Raw genomic sequence first — 20,849 nt, 5'->3', positions numbered from 1 at the left:
TCGTTGTGGTTTTTTTTTCTTTTTTTTTTGTTTTGTTTTAGACGGAGATTCGCTCTTGTTGCCCAGGCTGGAGTGAAATGGCATGATCTTGGCTCACCACAACCTCCGCCTCCTGGGTTCAAGCGATTTTCCTGCCTCAGCCTCCCGAGTAGCTGGGATCACAGGCATGCGCCACCATGCCCAGCTAATTTTGTATTTTTATTAGAAACGGCATTTCTCCATGTTGATCAGGCTGGTCTCGAACTCCTGACCTCAGGTAATCTGCCCACCTTGGCCTCCCAAAGTGCTAGGATTACAGGCATGAGCCACAGAGCCTGACCTGTTTTGTTTGTTTGTTTTGTTTATTTGACGGAGTCTTGCTTGGTCACCTAGGCTGGAGTGCAGTGGTGTGATCTTGGCTCACTGCAACCTCCAACTCCCAGGTTCAAGGGAATTTGTGTTTTTAGAAGAGACGGGGTTTCACGATGTTGGCCTGACTGGTCTCAAACTCCTAACCTCAGGTGACCTCAAGGAAGCCTCCCAAAGTGCTAGGATTACAGGCGTGAACCAACGTGCCTAGCCTAAACTTTGATTAATTTATGCCCATTCTTTACCTCTCCAGTCATCTCTTCCTTACTTTCTCCTGTGGTTATTTACTGGGTTCATCCACAAAAGATGCATGCCTGGGACCTGGAACATTCTATGTGGGCAGTGATGATGAACCATTGAGTCAACCCTCTTCTTGTCAGGGGCCCTCACTGCTCCCCAGATACCGAGACCCTGCTCACTCCTAATGGGCAGATCTGGGAGAATCTGTTCCTGATCATTGGCCATGTCAGGAAAGGGCTTCACTGCACAAGGTGCGGCCCCCTGCCTTGGGAGGGAATGGCCATAGTGTGTACTAGCGGGAGCCTCATGGCATCACCAACACTTGCCTGTCCTCATGGTGGCTAGTGGGTTTTACTGAATTAACATAATTGTGTGTAGTAAAGATGTCCAATTTCTCTTAGAAGAATAGTAAAATCATTTAGGTAGATGACACATTCTAAATATTTCTAGCCCACATCAATATGCATCCTTTTGGAAATTAACTCATTTCAATGAGACATCTTCCTGTAACACCTCCCTTCTCTCCTTATCAAAAAACGGGAAAACCAGGGCACTGACCTGTCCTCATGGTGACTAGTGGGGTTTACTGAATTAAAGTGATTGTGTCCAGTAAAGATATCCAATTTCTCTTAGAATAATGCTAAAATCATTTAGGTGGATAATACATTCTAAATATTTCCAGCCCATATTAATGGAAATATACATCCTTTTGGAAACTAACTCATTTCAATGAGAGATCTTCCTATCACACCTCCCTTCTCTCCTTATCAAAAAACAGGAAAACCTGGGCTTGACCTAGCTAGCGCTCCTACACTGCCATGAGAATCCCTTTGGGACTTTCCCCATTTGGGACTGGCAGCACTCTTGTGGTTTACTAAAACTTAGGTAAACCTGGGCTTAAGCCACCACCTGGAGCCAAGAAGGAAGCAGCAACCTAGTGGTGAAGATTCACTAAGGGAATGTATTCAGTCCAAACCAAAGCAAGCCAGACAGAGAAAACTGGAGTAAATCATTCTTCCTTCAGTGCAAAAATACAGATCTATATCTACAAGAAACTAGAGCAAACAGGAAACTGTGACCTCCCCAAAATGACAAAGCAGAAATCTAGTGGGTGACTCTAATGTGATGGCTATTTGTCAGGTCTCTAACCAATCACTGAAAATCGCAGGTTTTCAAACTTGTATTTTAGTTCCAGGAATACAGATGCAGGTTTGTTCTATAGATAATAGACAAACTATCAGATAAATAATTTTGGTAGCTTTTGTTTATTTGTTTGTTTGTTTGTTTTTTGAGGTGGCGTCTCACTCTGTCACCCAGGCTGGAGTGTAGTGGCATGCTCTCAGCTCACTGCAACCTCTGCCTCCCAGAGTCAAGCAATTCTCCTGCCTCGGCCTCCCAAGTAGCTGAGACTACAGACTTGCATTACCACGCCAGGCTAAGTTTTTGCATTTTTAGTAGAGACAGGGTTTCACCATGTTGGACATGGAGAACTCCTGACCTCAAATGGTGCACTGCCTCAGTGCTGGGATTAGAGGTGTGAGCCACCATGTCCAGCCAGTTTTGGTAGTTTGTTGATACCCACTCCCCTTCCACCCTCCACTCTCCAGTAGTCCCGGGCGTCTATTGTTCCCATTATTATGTCATGTATACTTAATATTTGGCTCTCATTTATAAGTGAGAACATGTGGTGTTTGGTTTTCTGTGCCTGCTTTAGTTTGCTTAGCATAACGGCTTCTAGCTCCATCCGTGTTGCAGCAAAAGGAGGATGAGGACTTAATGAAAGGGCATTATCTTGTTCTTGTTTCAAGCTGTGTAGGTTTCCATGGTGTATCTGTACCATATTTTGTTAATCCAGTCCACCACTGATGTGCATTCCAGTGGATTCCATGTCTTTGCTGTTGTGAATAGTGCTGCGATGAGCATCCACATGTGACCACTCCCACTCAACATGTGCTAGAGTCTCACGTTACTGGAGTGTCTCTATATTACCCGGGCTGGTCCAGAACGGCCAGGCTCAGGCAGGGCTCCAATCTTAGCCTTACAAAGTATTGGGATTACAGGCATGAGCCACCACACATGGCTCTATTTTATTATAACATATATTTCTAGGCCGGGTGTGGTGGCTCACGCCTGTAATCCCAGCACTTTGGGAGGCCAAGGCGGGTGGATCACGAGGTCAAGAGATGGAGACCATCCTGGCCAACATGGTGAAACCCCGTCTCTACTAAAAATACAAAAATTAGCTGGGCATGGTGGCACGTGCCTGTAATCCTAGCTACTCAGGAGGCTGAGTCAAGGAGAATCGCTTGAACCCGGGAGGCGGAGATTGCAGTGAGCCGAGATCGTGCTGCTGCACTGCAGCCTGGGCAAAGAGTGAGACTCCCTCTCAAAAAAAAAAAAAGCTATAATTCTATAGGCCAAGCAAGGTGGCTCACGCCTGTAATTCCAGCACTTTGGGAGGCCGATGTGGGTGGATTGCTTGAACCAAGGAGTTCTAGCCTGGGCAACAAAGCAAAATCCTGTCTCTACTTAAAAAGGAAAAAAAGGATATATTTCTGTAGCTTATGGCCTGTAGGCTCGCCATGCCTCAGGCTCGAAAGTGCAGCTTTCAGAAAAGATCCTTCACTGGTATTTCCAGGGAGGAAGTGATGAGGCAGGAATTTATGCTGAGTGGGTTGGCCAAGTATACACACTCAACAGGTCATGAAATGGGCTATGAGTATTCTTGAAGGGGGCCTAACACATGCATACTGAATAAACATTCATGTGGCTTATGTCCCATGTTCACTTTGGGGTGGAGACTTCACATTTCTTTTTCTTTTTGAGACAGAGTCTTGCTATGTCACCCAGGCTGGACTGCAATGGCACCGTATCAGCTCACTGCATCCTCCACCTCCCAGGTTCAAGCGATTCTCCTGTGTCAGCCAAGTAGCTGAGACTACAGGTACATGCCACCACACCTGGCTACTTTTTTTTTTTTTTTTTTTTTTGAGATGGAGTCTTGCTCTGTCACCCAGGCTGGAGTGCAGTGGTGCAATCTCTGCTCACTGCAAGCTCCACTTCCCGGGTTCACGCCATTCTCCTGCCTCAGCCTCCCCAGCAGCTCGGACTACAGGCACACGCCGCCACGCCCAGCTAATTTTTGTATTTTTAGTAGAGACGGGGTTTCTCTGTGTTAACCAGGATTGTCTCGATCTCCTGACCTTGTGATCCGCCCTCCTAGGCCTCCCAAAGTGCTGGGATTACAGGCGTGAGCCACCGCGCCTGGCCCACTTTTTCTATTTTTAGTAGCGATAGGGTTTCACTATGTTGGCCAGGCTGGTCTGGAACGCCTGACCTCAGGTGATCTGCCGCCTCGGTCTCCCAGAGTGTTCCAAAGTGCTGGGATTACAGGCGTGAGCCACCGTGCTGCGCCGAGACTTCATGTTTCAATGCATTGCAGCTAGACCCCCCCATATCAAATGGTTCATCAGGGACATGAAGACGCTCGCGTGCTAAGTCTCTTTCAAGTGGCCAGAAGCAGTCAATGCTCAGAGGCCTCTCATCAGCAGAAAGTTACTGGAATCAATCTCTTGTCCAATCAAAGCTGGAGTCATGGCTTGTGGAACAGGGGGTCAGTTAGTCAGAATCTGGGATGGATGAGCTGCAATCATTTCAATATTGCTTATCTTAGGGCCAGTGCTTGTTCAGCTGCTAGAGAGAGAAAAACCCTGTGGCAGTTAGAATATAGTTCATTCAGCTGGGCACAGTGGCTCTTGCCTGTAATCCCAGCACTTTGGGAGGCTGAGGCGGGTGGATAATGAGGTCAGCAGGTCAAGACCAGCCTGGCCAACATGGTGAAACCCTGTCTGTACTAAAAATACAAAAAATTAGCCAGGTGTGGTGGCATGCACCTGTAATCCCAGCTACTCGGGAGGCTGAGGCAGGAGAATTGCTTGAACCTGGGAGGCAGAGGTTGCAGTGAGCCAAGATCATGCCACTGCACTTCAGCCTGGGCTACAAAGCGAGACGCTGCCTCAAAAAAAAAAAAAAAAAAAGTATATAGTTCATTTTTTAAGGGTAGGGGCCCTTGACTTAACCCTTGCCTGGTAAGACCTTAGGTCCTGTATATAACTTGGTATCTTATTACCCTAAATAGTCAATTCAGTCAGCCTTATAATCTCTATTTTAACATGAATGCTGGTCAGTTTTTGTGTCTCAACCATGAAAGGAAGGAAGTAAAATGAGACGTGTCTATCCTCCCATCCTGCCATGGCCAGGAACTCAGTTTTAAAGATTTCTCTGGGTACACTTGGCCGAGAGGGAATCTGTTCAGTTCATAGGGGGAGCTTAGGATTTTATTTTTAGTTTTCAGAACGAGGGATGAATAATCATGGAGGCTTCTGCTGGGAGGGAAAAAGTAGAAAAAATGCATTAATTTCACTCTTCCTGTATGCCAGGCCCTATGCCAAGCCCTTAAGTTGCCCCATCTCATTCGATTCTACCAGGGTCACACAGGTGGTGGACATCATCATCCTCATTTTTCAGGAAAACTGAGGCTCTCGCCCAAGGTTCCTGCCCAACAACACCAGGCCCTGAGTTCTCAGCATGGTCCTCACTCAGATACTCTTTGTGTAGGGTTTCTTACCTGAGTCCTCAGCAGGGTCCTCACCTGGATGCCGTTTGTGTAGGGTTTCTCATCTGAATCCTCTGCAGGGTCCTCACTCGGATGTCCTTTGTGTAGGGTTTCTCACCTGAGTCCTCAGCAGGGTCCTCACTTGGATGCCCTTTGTGTAGGGTTTCTCATCTGAGTCCTGAGCAGGGTCCTCACTCGGATGTCCTTTGTGTAGGGTTTCTCATCTGAGTCCTGAGCAGGGTCCTCACTCGGATGTCCTTTGTGTAGGGTTTCTCACCTGAGCCCTCAGCAGGGTCCTCACTTGGATGTCCTTTGTGTAGGGTTTCTCATCTGAGTCCTGAGCAGGGTCCTCACTCGGATGCCCTTTTTGTAGGGTTTCTCATCTGAGTCCTGAGCAGGGTCCTCACTCGGATGTCCTTCGTGTAGGATTTCTCACCTGAGTCCCCAGCAGGGTCCTCACTCAGATGCCCTTTGTGTAGGGTTTCTCACCATAGGGAAAGTCACTCATCACCCACAGGCACTTGACTATTATCTGCCCTCGAAGGATGTGCGATTCCAAAACACGCTTGCTCTGAGAAAAACCAGGGCCGTATCATTTTCCCCGCCAAACCGGAAAGGAGCCAAGAGATCAAAGGATGACTCAGATGAGCCCAGCTTGGCAAATAATGAGTTGATTAGGATTCACATGCAGGGCACTCCAGGGCAGCAGCAGCACAGCCCCAAAGATCTGTGCCACCTCCTGTCTCTAAACTGCTTTTAAGTGAATTTTCTGGCTCTTTGTCCACTGATTTTGAGCAATCAGCCTCTTCTGCCTGGTAGGTTCTCAGATACTGTCTGGGATGTTTGGGTTCTCGGGGACACCTGCTTCTTGGCTGGGCACAAGAGACTTGGCTTCCCACCTGGCCTTCAGGGTTCAGGCAGGGGACATGCACCCTTAAGTAACCTGATGGGACATGCCACACCAGAATTCTATACACTTGAAGTGGGGCCAGCCTCTCCACACCTGTGGTTACTTCTCCTCAGGTGGGATGAGAGACTGAGGAAAGAAATAAGACACAGAGACAAAGTATAGAGAAAGAAATTGGGCCCAGGGGACCGGCGCTCAGCATACGGAGGACCTGCACTAGCACTGGTCTCTGAGTTTTCTCAGTTTTTATTGATTACTGTTTTCACTATCTCATCAAGGGGAACGTGGCAGGAGAGCAGGGTGATAGAGGGGAGAAGGTCAGCAAGAAAACATGTGAGCAAAGGAATCTGTGTCACAAATAAGTTCAAGGGAAGGTTCTATGCCTGGATGTGCACATAGGCCAGATTTATGCTTTTCTCCACCCAAACATCTCAATGGAGTAAAGAGTAACAAAGCAGCATTGCTCCCAACATGTCCCACCTCCTGCCACAAGGCGGTTTTTCTCCTATCAAAGAATGGAACAAATGTACAATCGGGATTTATACCAAGACATTGCATTCCCAGGGGCAGGCAGGAGACAGAGGCCTTCCTCTTATCTCAGCTGCAAGAAGCCTTCCTCTTTTACTAATCCTCCTCAGCACAGACCCTTCACGGGTGTCAGGCTTGGGGACGGTCAGGTCTTTCCCATCCCATGAGGTCATATTTCAGACTATCACATGGGGAGAAACCTTGGACAATACCTGGCTTTCCAGGGCAGAGGTCCCTGCGGCTTTCCACAGTGCATTGTGCCCCTGGTTACTTGAGAATGAAGAACGGCGATGACTTTTATCAAGCACACTGCCTGTAAATATTTTGTAAACAAGGCACATCCTGCACAGCCCTAGATCCCTTAAACCTCGATTCCATACAACACATGTTTCTGTGAGCTCAAGGTTGGGGCTAAAGTTACAAATTAACAGCATCTCAGGGCAAAGCAATTGTTCAGGGTACAGATAAAAATGAAATTTCTTATGTCTTCCTTTTCTACATAGACACAGTAACCGTCTGATCTCTCTTTCTTTTCCCTACATATCCCCCTTTTCTTTTTGAGAAAACCGCCATCATCATCATGGCCCGTTCTCACTGGTCGCTCTCTCTTTGGAGCTGCTGGATACACCTGTAGACTAACAACAGACAAAACAGATATACCAGGATTAATATGAAATTACAACAGTTGAATTTCTGATGGTTTTAACCCAAGTGACAGGGTTAAGATTTGTGAGGCCATCAGCAACTTTCATGATTGCCTCAGTTTCTGGCACCAAATTTAAATGGGCTTTTGATGCCTCAAAAACTTGTTCTTTTAATTTTAAAATATCTAAAGTAAGATTATCTTCTCTTCCTTGTAGTTGGCGTCATGTCCCAGTGATGCTCAGACTCATTATACGCTTGGGGTTTAATACAAAAATCTGACATATTCCAGTCATACTGTAACTGAAAAAGATATTCCAAGCTCATGAGCCTATCTCCCATCCAAATGACAGTTTGTCTAAGATCATTAATTTGGTTTGCCAATTTTTGATCTATTTGGGTCTGAGAATTCCACAATTTTGAGGAATTCTTTTGCCAATTATTTACATATTCTGCAGTTTGAACAGAGAAGTGTAAAGCAATTCCAGCAGCCACAGCAGTAGCTGTGACTGCAATAAGACCCAAAATCACTGCAATCAAAGTAAAAAAGAATCTTTTGGATCTAGTTAGAACTCCTTTCAATACTTCTGTTAAAATATGGACAGATGGGGAAGCCTCCCACTGTCAGTCCATGGACACAGGGATCCCCATGCCCTCTCTTGCCCTCACCAGCAGAATACGGTGCTGCCAATCAAAAGTCTAATCAATGCAAGTAAACAATCTACTGTTTTCACAGGTTATAGTTTGGGAATCTGGTTTAATAACTATGTTTCCTACAACTAGCATATAAGGGGGTTTTACACAACTTTGCAAAGGAATTGTCGGATTGGAATTTAAGTTAATAGTATAATATGGCTTACGATCTCTTGTTCCTATAGCTTGATTTTCAGACCAAATTCTAATGTGGTGTGAGGCCACAGTAAGCTTTCATAATTCTGGATGTTCAGGACCAGTAACAGGACTAACTAACTTTGGTCGAGGTGATGAAATTCGCTTTTCACCCCATTTCCATGGATAGGGTGATTGTAACTTTCTATAAACCTGATCCAGCCTTTCAGTTAAATCACTCTCATAGGCCAGATTAATGGGCCAGATGGATGGGGCTGTGAACATGAGAGAGTCTGGCCTGTACAATTATAATAAAATTGGCCTCGAGGGGCCCGGTCTATAATAGTTCTAAATTCATTGTTTTGTAATACCACCGCAGTATCAGCCACACATTCTTCCCAAACTGAAACTTTTGGGCCTTTTGATTCTTTGGGAATTTTCTTGGGGCAAGGCTTCCCCTTAGGCCTAAATTTTAATGATCTTTGATAAGAAGAGTCCTGTAAATTATTTTATCTGTGGCCCGAGTGACATCCCACTTACTATGTGATAAGTAAATCTACTGGTGGCACTGACAGTAGGTACTTCTACCAACCAATTTGGGGTTGTAGGCATTAAATATCCTGGCACCTTCCCTTGGCAAATAGGAGGATAATGATACCCAGTGGAAATATTTATCATCAATTCTTTTTTAGGTTGGGCAGGGCAACGATCATCTGTGAGGCCTGGTACCCATGCACTATTATTAACATATACTTCAATAGGATTATCCATCCATGTGACTGCCTGAATTAAGGGCGGGAAAGGCACACAGTCCCGGTAAGTATGATTAGTTGTGGCTGCTCCTGCAGTCACAGGGAGACTTACCACCGTTGATACAATCATCAAAGCTGCAGGCAGCATGTTCTCTGGAGTTTGTGTTACCCTTTTTGTTCTTCAGGCTTTTTTCAGCTAACTGTGTCAGCTTCTTTAATTGGGCCCAGGTCAGTGGCCCCACTTTCTTGGTGGATGGCAGCTTCATCTGTTCTTCTGATATCACCATTTTGTTCACCCGGTGAGTCGATGATGCTCGATTGCGGGTTTTCCATCTCCGTGGTGGCGCTTCTCTTTGCATCTCCGATGGGTTCATTGTAGAACTTTAAATGTCTAGTGGGTATCCAAACAGGAAGCTGATTTTCTCCTGGTGAAACACAAGCAAAACCTCTCCCCCATGTTATCATTTTCCCTATTTCCCTTGTCTTATTTTTGTTGTCTTTCCACCAAATCAGTTTTCCTTCATGTGGGCTGTTCTTTTTACCAGTAAAATGTTGCTCTGCAGAAGTAGTGGTCTGATTTCTATAAATGTTTAAAAAATTTAAAGTATAGAGTGCTAAATTAAGTTGCATCTGGGGAGTGTTATACTCCTTAATGTCTTTTTCCTTTTTTTGTTTCACCAATTCAGCTTTGAGTGTTCTATTAGTTCTTTCAATTATGGCCTGTCCTTGGGAATTATAGGGGATTCCTGTTGTATGTGTAATTTGTCACTGATTTCACAATTTTTAAAATGTTTTACTACAGTATCCTGGCCCATTACGTGTTTTAATTTTTTTTTGGAACTCCCATGACAGCAAAACAAGATAATAAATGTCTTTTAACATGGGAAGTACTTTCTCCTGTCTGGCAGGTTGCCCATACAACATGCAGATAAGAATCAACTGTCACATGGACAAACGATGATTTTCCAAATGAAGGTACATGTGTGACATCCATTTGCCATAATGCATTAGGACATAGACCTCTGGGATTAACTCCTGCCTCCTGAGTGGGCAGGTGTAGGACTTGACACTGGGTGCAATGTTGTACAATATTTTTTGCCTGTTTCCATGTGATATCAAATTTATTTTTTAGTCCTGTTGCATTTACATGAGTCAAAGCATGAAGTTCTTGTGCTTCTATGAATGCAGATGATGCTAGCAAGTCAGCTTGTTCATTTGCTTTAGTTAAAGGCCTTGGTAAATTAGTATGTGCTCATATATGAGTAATATAAAATGGGAGATTTCTTTTTCTTACAATTTGTTGTAACAAATAAAAGGACTGGTTTAACTGATCATCCATACTATATTTGGTTAGGGCTGTCTCAACATCCTTTGTAGCTGTACTACATATGCAGAATCTGATTTTCAATGACTCGTTCTTTCGGCCTGGTGTAAACCACTTTTCCATTGCTGGAACCATCAGTAAACACAGTCAGAGCATTTTCTAAAGGTTTATGTCTGGTAATTTTAGGTAAAATTCAAGTAGTCAATTTTAAAAACTGGAAGATTTTTGTTTTTGGGTAATGGTTATCAATAATTCCCACAAAATCAGCAAGAGCAATCTGCCATGCAGCAGAATTGATAAAGCCTTGTCTAAACTCTTCCTTGTTTAAAGGAACAATGATTTTATCTGGGTCACTTCCACACAATTTTATTATTTGTAATCTTGCCTGACCAATTAATGTAGCCATTTGATCCAAGTACAATGTAAAAGTCTTAATCGTACTGTGAGGAAGGAAAGATCACTCCACAAGATCTGTATTTTGAACAATAATGCCTGTTGAGAATGTGCAGTAGCAAAAATCAAAAGTTGGAGTGGGGTGAAGTGATCTATTCTATTTACTTGTGCTGACCGAATTTTTTCTTCAATTAATTCAATTTCTTTAGTTGCCTCTGGAGTTAATGTTCTTTTACTATTCAATTCTGGATCCCCACTCAAGATAGAGAACAAATTTGACATGGCATAAGTAAGGATGCCTAGAGTTGACCAAATCCAATTAATATCTCCTAGCAATTTATGAAAGTCGTTTAATGTTTTTAATGTCTTTTCTTATTTCTATTTTTTGTTGTTTAAATTTTCTTTCCTCTACCTGCATTCCCAAGTAATGGACAGGAGTAGAGGTTTGAATCTTATCAGATGCTATTGTCAGTCCTGAGTTTGCAACCTCTGTCTGCAGAAATGTGTAACAGTCAATTAATGTGTCTCTCGTTTCTGCAGCACACAAAAGATCATCAACATAATGAAAGACGTAGTCTGAAAACTTGTCTCTAACTGGTTGAAGAGCTTCAGCTACAAAAATCTGACAAATAGTTGGACAATTAAGCATTCCCTGAGGCAACACTTTCCACTGAAACCTGGTGGCTGGTTCTTTATTATTTATGGCTGGTATAGTAAAAGCAAATTTTTCAAAATCCTGTTTTGCTAGAGGAATGGTAAAAAAGCAATCCTTCAGATCAATTATAATTAAAGGCCAATCTTTGGGGATCATGGCCAGAGAGGGCAACCCAGGTTGGAGAGCCCCCATAGGTTGAATTACAGCATTGACGGCTCTTAAGTCGGTTAACATGTGCCATCTGCTGGATTTTTTCTGAGTTACAAACACAGGAGAATTCAAGGCGAAAATGAAGGCTCAATATGTCCCTTTGCTAATTGTTCTTTTGCCCGTAAGTGTAAAGCCTCCAGCTTTTGTTTTGGTAGCAGCCACTGATTTACCCATACAGGTTTTTCTGTTTTCCAAGTTAATGGAATGGGTTTTGGGGGCTCTACAGTGGCCACTCCTAAAAAGGATATCCTATTCCTTTTCTTTCTTGATTTCCCTCAGCCTCAATTGGGATTTTAATGCCATCTCCATTTTTCCCTAGTCCTTTGCCAGGGAGATACCCCATTTTAGTCTGATTTTTTGACTCGTGGGGCTGTATAAGGAGGCTGGGATAGTCATCTCTGCATGCCATTGTTGTAACAAGTCTCGGCCCCATAAATTAATTGGAATAAAAGTAATCATAGGTTGAACTGTACTTTCTTGTTTATCAGGTCCTAGACAATGTAAAATCATGGTGCTTTGATACACTTTTGAGGCGCTGCCCACACCGACAAGTCCTGTAACAGGCTTTTGTTTAGGCCAATTTTTTGGCCATTGATTTAAGGCGATAATGGAAACATCAGCATCGGTATCCACTAATCCTATAAACTGCTTTCCCTGAATAGTGACTGTACACACAGGTCTATTCTCTGAGACCTGACGAGCCCAGTGAGTGGCTTTTCCGGCAGAGTTGGTACTTCCAAACCCTCCTGTCCTTTCCGTTTTATTTTCCCCAATTTTAATATAAGGCAAAAGCAATAATTGAGCAATTCTATTACCTGGATTGGCACTCCAGGGAACAGTGGAGCTGATCACTAACTGAATTTCCCCTTTATAATCTGAATCAATTACCCCAGTATGAATTTGGACTCCCTTCAAATTTAGACTTCATCTCCCTAAAATGAGGCCTACTGTCCCTCCTGGCAGTGGGCCATATACCCCTGTAGCAATCTTTTGCGGGGTCTCTCCAGGGAGTAAAGAAACCTTTTGAGTGGAACATAAATCTACTGCTGTGCTGCCTGCTGTGGCGGGGGACAGCTGTTGTATTGTTGTAATTGGCTGATTCCCTGAAGTGGTGGTATTTGCTGTGGTGGTTGCTGTCCCTGAAAACCCTGAAGAACAAACGGCTGAATCGGGAATGCCCCAGTTTGTTGTTGGGACTGAGGCTGGCCCCTCACCCCTTTTTCTGACAATAGTTGCCCATTTTTATCATATTTAGAACGACATTGATTAGCCCAATGTTTTCCTTTTCCATGTCTTGGACACAGGCCAGGTGGCTCTTTATTTTTACTCTGTTTATTTAAGACTGGGCAGTTCTTTTTTAGATGACCGATTTGACCACAATTATAACATTTCCCCCCAAATGCTCTAACTATCCTCCTAAAGTGACTCCGGTCATTGCTTGAGCCATTAGCATTGCCTTACGCATAGCTCCTCCAATCCCATCACAAGCTTTCACATATTCTGTAATTACATCAACTCCTGCTGGACCTTTTCCTTTTAATGGCTTTATGGCTGGTTGAAATTCTGGATTTGACTTTTGATAAGCCATTATTTCTACAATAACTTTTTGAGCATTATCATCCGAAACAGATTTTTCAGAGGCATCTTGCAACCTTGCCACGGAGTCTGCATATGGCTCTTTGCAGCCTTGTCTAATTGAATTAGAAGAAGGGCAAGCGGTGCCTGGGCAAGTGATGCCTGGGCAAGTGGTGTGTGGGGCACCCAGGTGCCTGGGTCCTGAATTTTTTCCCAGTCCCTGAGGCAAAGAGCCCTTAGATGTTCAATACCCTCATTCTGCATTACTGACTGTTGGCCAATTGTACTCCAATTTGGACCTGTTCCTAGCAATCGATCTGCATCTATATTAACAGCGGGATAAATAGCCTGACTTTTCGTGCCTGTTCTTGTACTCCATCAATCCACCAGGTTTTAAATTGTAGGAACTGAGAGGGTGGAAGGGAAGATTTAGCCAACATTTCCCAATCATAGGGAATAAGTCTATTTCCATGAGCAATGGGATCTAATAAAGTTCTCATATAAGGGGAGTTGGGTCCATATTGTTTAACTCCTTCCTTCATATCTTTTAACATTTTCATGGTGAAAGATTCATATCTAGCCTCAGTTTGGACAGACGCTCCAGCTTGCCCCCCTTTCCCAGCTGGTATTGGTTGTAAAATTACAAGGAACTGCCATGCCTCAAGATCTCCCTGTTTTCTGGCTTTATCAATGATTTCATGCAGTGTACTACCTTGTCCACTAGGTGGTGATGTAGGACTAAACACCGCTGGGTTGCTGGTGAGGTGCCGTGCTATGTGGCACGGGACACACAGCTTGAGGTCTGTATTGAACCTCCGGAGACGGCCCATACTGAAGCTCAGCTGGCGGCCAGTATTGATAAACTACCGGTGGTTGGGTCTTATTTTCTACCAGCTGATATTGTGGATACTGTATCTGAATTGGCATGGCCGGGATAGAGACTCTATCCTTTTCTACATGATATTCTCTTGGGGTTTGCACTTGTCTAACCTGCATTTGAGGTTGTAATGTTACAGGCATCTGAACCACTGGAGGAGGAGTTGATGGCCATTGTGGTTTAGGCTCTGGTAGCCCCAATAATTCTGGACCTCCTTCCACCAGTTTTGATGATTCAGGATATATTACCTCCTGTAACTGATTGTAGTCAACATTTTGCGTTGACTGAGCCATTACAGACTCTGTTACATTTTACAATGTGAACTTTCCATTAATTTCCGGGATTTTGTCTCTGCCTCTTCTTCACAATCTACTACACAGCTTTCAGGGGCATCAGAAATTGAAAGGCTATCTTTTTCTATTTGAAACGGTTCTAAAGTTGTTTTAATAATGGGCCAATCATTCCATACTGTAAGTGGGATGATTTTATCTTCCCTACTTGCTTGTTTTAATTCTTTGCCAATTTTCCCCCAATCTTTTAGATCTAAAGTCCTTGTTTTGGAAACCATGGGCAGAATTGTTCTATTGTTTGAAATAGCATAATTAGATTTTCTGTAGAAGCTCTAACTCCCCATCTTCTTAGAAGAATTTTAATGAAGCTGAGATAAGAGGCATATTTACTTTCAGTTTGTCCCATTGTTACCCTGGGTTCCTCTGAGCACACAAGCTTACCGCATGGCTGACCGTGGAAGTACTTGGGAATCTCTCGTTGACTGTCTTCAATGCTCACGTTTTTAGCGTACCTTCACCCTAGAGAAAGGCCCACGTTGGGCGCCAGGTGAAGGGGGTCAGCCACTCCACACCTGTGGGTATTTCTCATCAGGCAGGACAAGAGACTGAGAAAAGAAATAAGACACAGAGACAAAGTATAGAGAAAGAAAAATGGGCCCAGGGGACTGCTGCTCAGCATACGGAGGACCCACACCGGCACTGGTCTCTGAGTTCCCTCAGTATTTATTGATTACTATTTTCACTAACTCAGTAAGGGAAAAGTGGCAGGAGAGCAGGGTGATAGTGGGGAGAAAGTCAGCAAGAAAACATGTGAGCAGAGGAATCTGTGTCACAAATAAGTTCAAGGGATGGTACTATGCCTGGATGTGCACATAGGCCAGATTTATGCTTTTCTCCACCCAAACATCTCAATGGAGTAAAGAGTAACAAAGCAGCATTGCTGCCAACATGTCTCGCCTCCCACCACAGGCAGTTTTTCTCCTATCTCAGAATAGAACAAATGTATAATCAGGTTTTATACTGAGGCATTCAGTTCCCAGGGGCAGGCAGGAGACAGAAGCCTTCCTCTTATCTCAACTGCAAGAGGCCTTCCTCTTTTACTAATCCTCCTCAGCACAGACCCTTAATGGATGTCAAGCTGGGTGGAAGGTCAGGTCTTTCCCATCCAATGAGGTCATATTTCAGACTATCACATGGGGAGAAACCTTGGACAATACCTGGCTTTCCAGGGCAGGGGTCCCTGAGGTTTTTCACAGTGTATTGCACCCCTGGTTACTTGAGAATGGAGAATGGTGATGACTTTTATCAAGCATACTGCCTGTAAACCTTTTGCTAGCAAAGCACATCCTGCACAGCCCTGGATCCCTTAAACCTTGATTCTATACAACACATGCTGCTGTGAGCTCAAAGTTGGGGCTAAAGTTACAGATTAACAGCATCTCAGGGCAAAGTCAGGGTACAGATCAAAATGAAGTTTCTTATGTCTTCCTTTTCTACATAGACACAGTAACCGTCTGATCTCTCTTTCTTTTCCCTGCATACGCTAGTCTTCTTCTTTAGTCTGCTAGGTATGGGAAGGGTGTTAAGAAAGGATCTCTCATCAATATGACCTGGCCCCCAAAAAGCATGCTTGATTTTTGAATGTGGTAAAGAAATATTTAAACCATGTTTTATGTCTATATGATTATTAGTATTTATATGTTATTTTCTTTTGTTTTGTTTTGTTTTTGAGATGGAGTCTCACTCTGTCATGAGGCTGAAGTGTGGTGGCACAATCTCAGCTCACAGCAACCTACGCCTCCTGGGTTCAAGCAATTCTCCTGCCTCAGCCTCTCTAGTAGCTGGGAGTACAGGCATGTGACAACATGTCCAGCTAATTTTTGTAGTTTTAGTAGAGACGGGGTTTCACCATGTTGGCTAGGATGGTCTCGATCTCTTGATCTTGTGATTCTCCTGCCTCAGCCTCCCAAAGTGCTACTATTATAGGTATGAGCCAACAAACCCAGCCATATTTATATATTGTAGGCAGTATTTTGCTAAAAGGGAATTTTGATATCTTTATAAGACACAACTAGTTTAATTAAGGAAGGAGCACTGCCCACCATGACGACAGGTATGGGTTGGTGATGCCCTGAAGCTCCAGGTAATCAATGATGTGAATGTCCCCTTCCAAAGCAGGGGCCATGCCTTGTGCAGTGAATCTCTGTCCCAGCACAGCTAATGGTCAGAAATGGATTCTTCTCAATCTGCCCATTAGGACTGAACAGGGTCTCAGCATCTGGTTAGCAGGGAGGGACCTGAGAAGGGGCTTTACTTGAGTGACTCACACTCTTTGCCCACATAGAATGTTCCTGGCCCTGTGTGTGCATCTTGTGGGTATTCACCCACTGATCAGCCACAGAACAAAGTCAGGAGGTAACAGATTTGTAAAGAGAAGTAAAGAACAGGAGGGAATTGATAAAAATGAGGAAATTTCATTTGGATGCCTGACTTCCTGGGGCAGGACCTCATTAAAAACACAGCTCGGTGCTTCTGATTTTCTCTTTTTCTTGTCTCTTTTTCCTGAGACGGAGTCTTGCTCTATTTCCCAGGCTGCAGTGTAGTGGCTCTATCTCAGCTCACTTAAACCTCTGCCTCCTGGCTTCAAGTGATTCTCCTACCTCAGCCTCCCAAATAGCTCGGACTACAAGTGCCTGCCACCATGCTCAGCTAATTTTTTTTTTGGCCCCGAGTCTCGCCCTGTCGTCCAGGTTGGAGTGAAGTGGCACGATTTGGAGATCTCAAGTACATGGACCGGGGAGGCTGCAGGAATTTGTTTATCTTGGGCTGGGGGTGCATGGGAAGTAGGTAGGGCTCCTGTGACCACAAACCCAAGGCCTCTGGGATCAGAAGGCAACAACAAGGGCCAGGACCTACCCCGGGGCCTGTGCTTGCAGGGACCCTGGCTCTCATTTGTATGTGGGGTGCCTGAGTGATTTCAGATTCCTCACCCATCCCCATTGGCTCTTCTAGGGGAGATGCAACCATAACACCTGTAGGTGACCCTGTGTAGGAAAAGACTGCAGAACCCACACGGGCCCATGCTGAGTGAGGCTTTCTCCAGGTGGGCACAAAAACCCCTAGCTCCCCAGCCACTGCCAGAGCTTGGGGTTGGGGGCCTTACATGGAGGCAAATGCAGGGAGCATTGGCAGAGGCAGGGCTGAGTGAAAGGAGAAGAAGAGCACATGGAAAAGACACAGGGGTCTCTGACAGTTCCAGGGCCAGAGGCACTTGGGAGTGGGAGAGGCATGACTGGGAGATAGGTCCAGGGCTTTTTCTGAGCCCTGAGGCCCCAGCAGGTTTACTTCCCTTCGAAGATCTCTCTGGGCTATTGTGCCTGGGAGTCAGGGCTGGCTCTGCTGCAGCCCTGTGGGAAGGGCATAGATCCCTCAGGGTCTAAGGTTCAACTTTACTCTTATCCTCAAATGAGGGCTTTTACCCAGGGACCTCTTGTCCGCAGATTCCACGTCTTCTTGCTGGACTCCCAGAGGAAGTTGTCCTACCAGGGACATGGGATGTTATACTTTTCTCTTCCATGGAACCAGCTCTGTCAGGTAGAGTTGTGCCTTTCTAGGTGGCCACACACACACACACATACTTACCATGTGGACATTGCAGTGATGCCCACTGGGCTTCGGGTTCTTCCATAGCACCCAGCTGAAAAAAGCCTCACCTAAGGCTAAGAAGAGACCTGGCTTGGACAAAAAAATACTTAGTGCATTCCAGGTGCATCCTTATCAGCTGTAAGGCTGGGCCAGGGGAACCTGGGAAGGGATGGCCCCTGCGCTGGGACCTGTCCAAGGCTCTGTCATCATCCTGACAGCCTTGGAAGACCAGAAGGGTCAGGTCTTCCTCTGCAAGCCAGGCAGTGTCACCACCCAGAAGTCCAGGGTGCCTCTTTAGGTCCAGAGCAGCAGCTGTGGAGTTTCCTGCTTTGTGCCTTGCCATGTTCACCAACATCACTCAATATAAACTGGGGAAAATTTCTTAATTACTGCTGGGTCTCTCTGCATTGTGGCCATGTTCTGAAGTCCAGGAGAGATGGGCTGATGGCCTTGGGATGCATAAAGTGACGCCGGCCCCATCAGCTCAGGCTGAGGGAGAAAACAGAGGCTCAGGAATATTCTAGAGAGCCTAAGCAAGGGCCTCATAGGAGCTTTGGAATCCCAGTGTGGATTCTGGGATTGGAGAATAGGTCAGGTCGTTTCCTGAGATGGGTTTCGAAGGTTGCTCTGAGCTTGGCAGCAGATGAGCACCTCGAGAAGAACTGGTGACAGAACATGGTAGAAAAGACCCCAAGTGCAGGATTCTCACTGGGGTCCTGGGGGTGCTACTGCACCCCTTGAAATGGGCAGGAAGAGGGAGTCAGTTAGCCAGTTCTTTCCAATATTTAGCTTATTGAACACCTTGGGGGTTCCACTGAGCCCCTCACCTGAGGGGTTTGCCAATCATTTGCTGCCAGAACATGGGAAGATTTTTCTCTGGCCAAATCTCAGGTTTATCAGGTTAGAAATGGGGAAAATAGCAACGTGCCTTAGATTCTCCATGAAGAAGAGCTGAGGTCCGGGATGATCAGTACCAGCCGTCTGTTGTGCCTCGTGGATGCTCAGTGAACACAGATTCTCACAACCATTATTGGTGTTGAGCTCACCCTCAGCCTCAGGTTTACAAAGTGGGGCGTGGGAAGTAGAAGCCTCACTGGGCTCAGGTGATCCTCCCACCTCAACTTCTTGGGCAGCTTGGCCTACAGGTGCACACTGCCTCCCCCCAGCTAATATCTTGTATTTGTATTAGAGACAGGGTTTCATCACATTGCCCATATTCCTCACAAACTCCTGAGCTCTAGCACTCTGCCTTTCTTGGCTTCCCAAAGGGCTGGGATTAGAGGCCTGAGGTCTTTCTTTCTTTTCCTTCCTTCCTTACTTTCTTTCTTTCTTTTTTCTTTCTTTCTTTCTTTCTTTCTTTCTTTCTTTCTTTCTTTCTTTCTTTCTTTCTTTCTTTCTTTCTCTTTCTTTCTTCTTTCTTTCCTTCCTTCCTTCCTTCCTTCCTTCCTTCCTTCCTTCTTTCTTCTTTCTTTCTTTCTTTCTTTCTTTCTTTCTTTCTTTCTTTCTTTCTTGCTTGCTTGCTTGCTTGCTTGCTTGCTTGCTTGCTTTTTCTTTTGTTCTTTTTTGACAGTGTCATGCCGTCACCCAGGATGGAGGGCAGTGGCGCCATCTCAGCTCACTGCAACTTCACATCCTGGGTTTAAGCGATTCTCCTGCCTCAGCCTTCTGAGTAGCTGGGAGTGCAGACATCTGCCACTATGCTCGGCTAATTTTTTGTATTTTTAGTAGAGACGGAGTTTCACCGTGTTAGCTAGAATGGTCTTGATATACTGACCTCATGATCAGCCCACCTTGGCCTCTCAAAGGGCTGATGTTACAGGCATGAGCCACTGTGCCTGGGTCTGAGCTTTCTTTGTAGGCCTAATGTTGATGCTCTGATAAGAATCTCTATGTTCAATATTAGCGACAGGAAAGGACTCTAAGAAGGAGGAAACATGAATTATCAAATTAGAGTAGGAAGGGAGTGGGTGAGATTAAGATTTGGATGAAGGGTCCTGGAAAATGACTGGGGCCAATGGTTGCTGGGAAATGTTCCACTGTGGGAAGATCCCAGAGTCTACAGGAAAGGTCTCCAGATGATAGAACAATGATGGACATATGGACCCTCGTTCATTTCTCTCTCACATCCTGTAGAGCCCACAGTTTCTACCTGGGTGGCTTCCAGCTTGGGAGAGCCTCCCTTCCCAGGTCTGGCCCCAATCTTCTCTCTGGCCTCTGCTCCAGTTCACATTCTTAGATTCCATCTTTGCAAGCTGGTTTTCTGAGAGGAGCCCATCAGTTTTGTGAGTAAACACCCTTTACCTTCTAGTAGGGCCAAGACTATACCTGCCCCCTGTGTTTTCAAAGTGAATGTTATGGTTTAAGTCTGCCCTATCTCTTTTGATGATTCTCCTTTTAATTTCTGAACTCAATCTAGGGTGGGTGAGATGGCTGATGCCTGTTATCCCAGCCTTTTGGGAGGCCAAGGTGAGGAGATCACTTGAGGTCAGGAGTTTGAGACCAGCCGGGCCAACATGGTGAAACCCCATCTCGACTAAAATACAAAAATTAGTAGGGCTTGTTGGAGTGCACCCGTAATTCCCAGCTACTTGGGAGGCAGAAATGAGAGAATCACTTGAACCAGAAGGTTGAGGCTGCAGTGAGCTGAAATCGTGCCACTGCACTCCAGCCTGAGTGACAGATGTAGGCCCAGTCTGAAAATCAAACAAACAATCAATAAATAAACTCAATCTTGACAAAAGACTTTGAGTCCTGACATCTAGATGCCCACAAGATAACCGCCATGTTTTACATTGTCTTGTTTCCTTTGCAGGTTCCCATTAGAACACCTAGTCTCATTCCGCTCAGTCCCCACCTCACTTGGTCACTTTGTCCTGATTTCCTTCGGTGAAGCCTTGACTTAGTCTTGAGATAGATCACACTCTCAGTGGTTCCTTTCTTCTACCTGAATGTGCATATGATCTGCTATGTTAGATAGCATAAAACACAGGTGACCATTCGATATACACAGCTTTTTATTC

This window comes from Homo sapiens, chromosome 1 (assembly GCF_000001405.40).
Source record: "Homo sapiens chromosome 1, GRCh38.p14 Primary Assembly".
NCBI classification, from domain to species: Eukaryota; Metazoa; Chordata; class Mammalia; order Primates; family Hominidae; genus Homo; species Homo sapiens.
The sequence above is the reverse complement of the archived record's forward strand: the minus strand, read 5'-3'. Positions refer to the sequence as shown.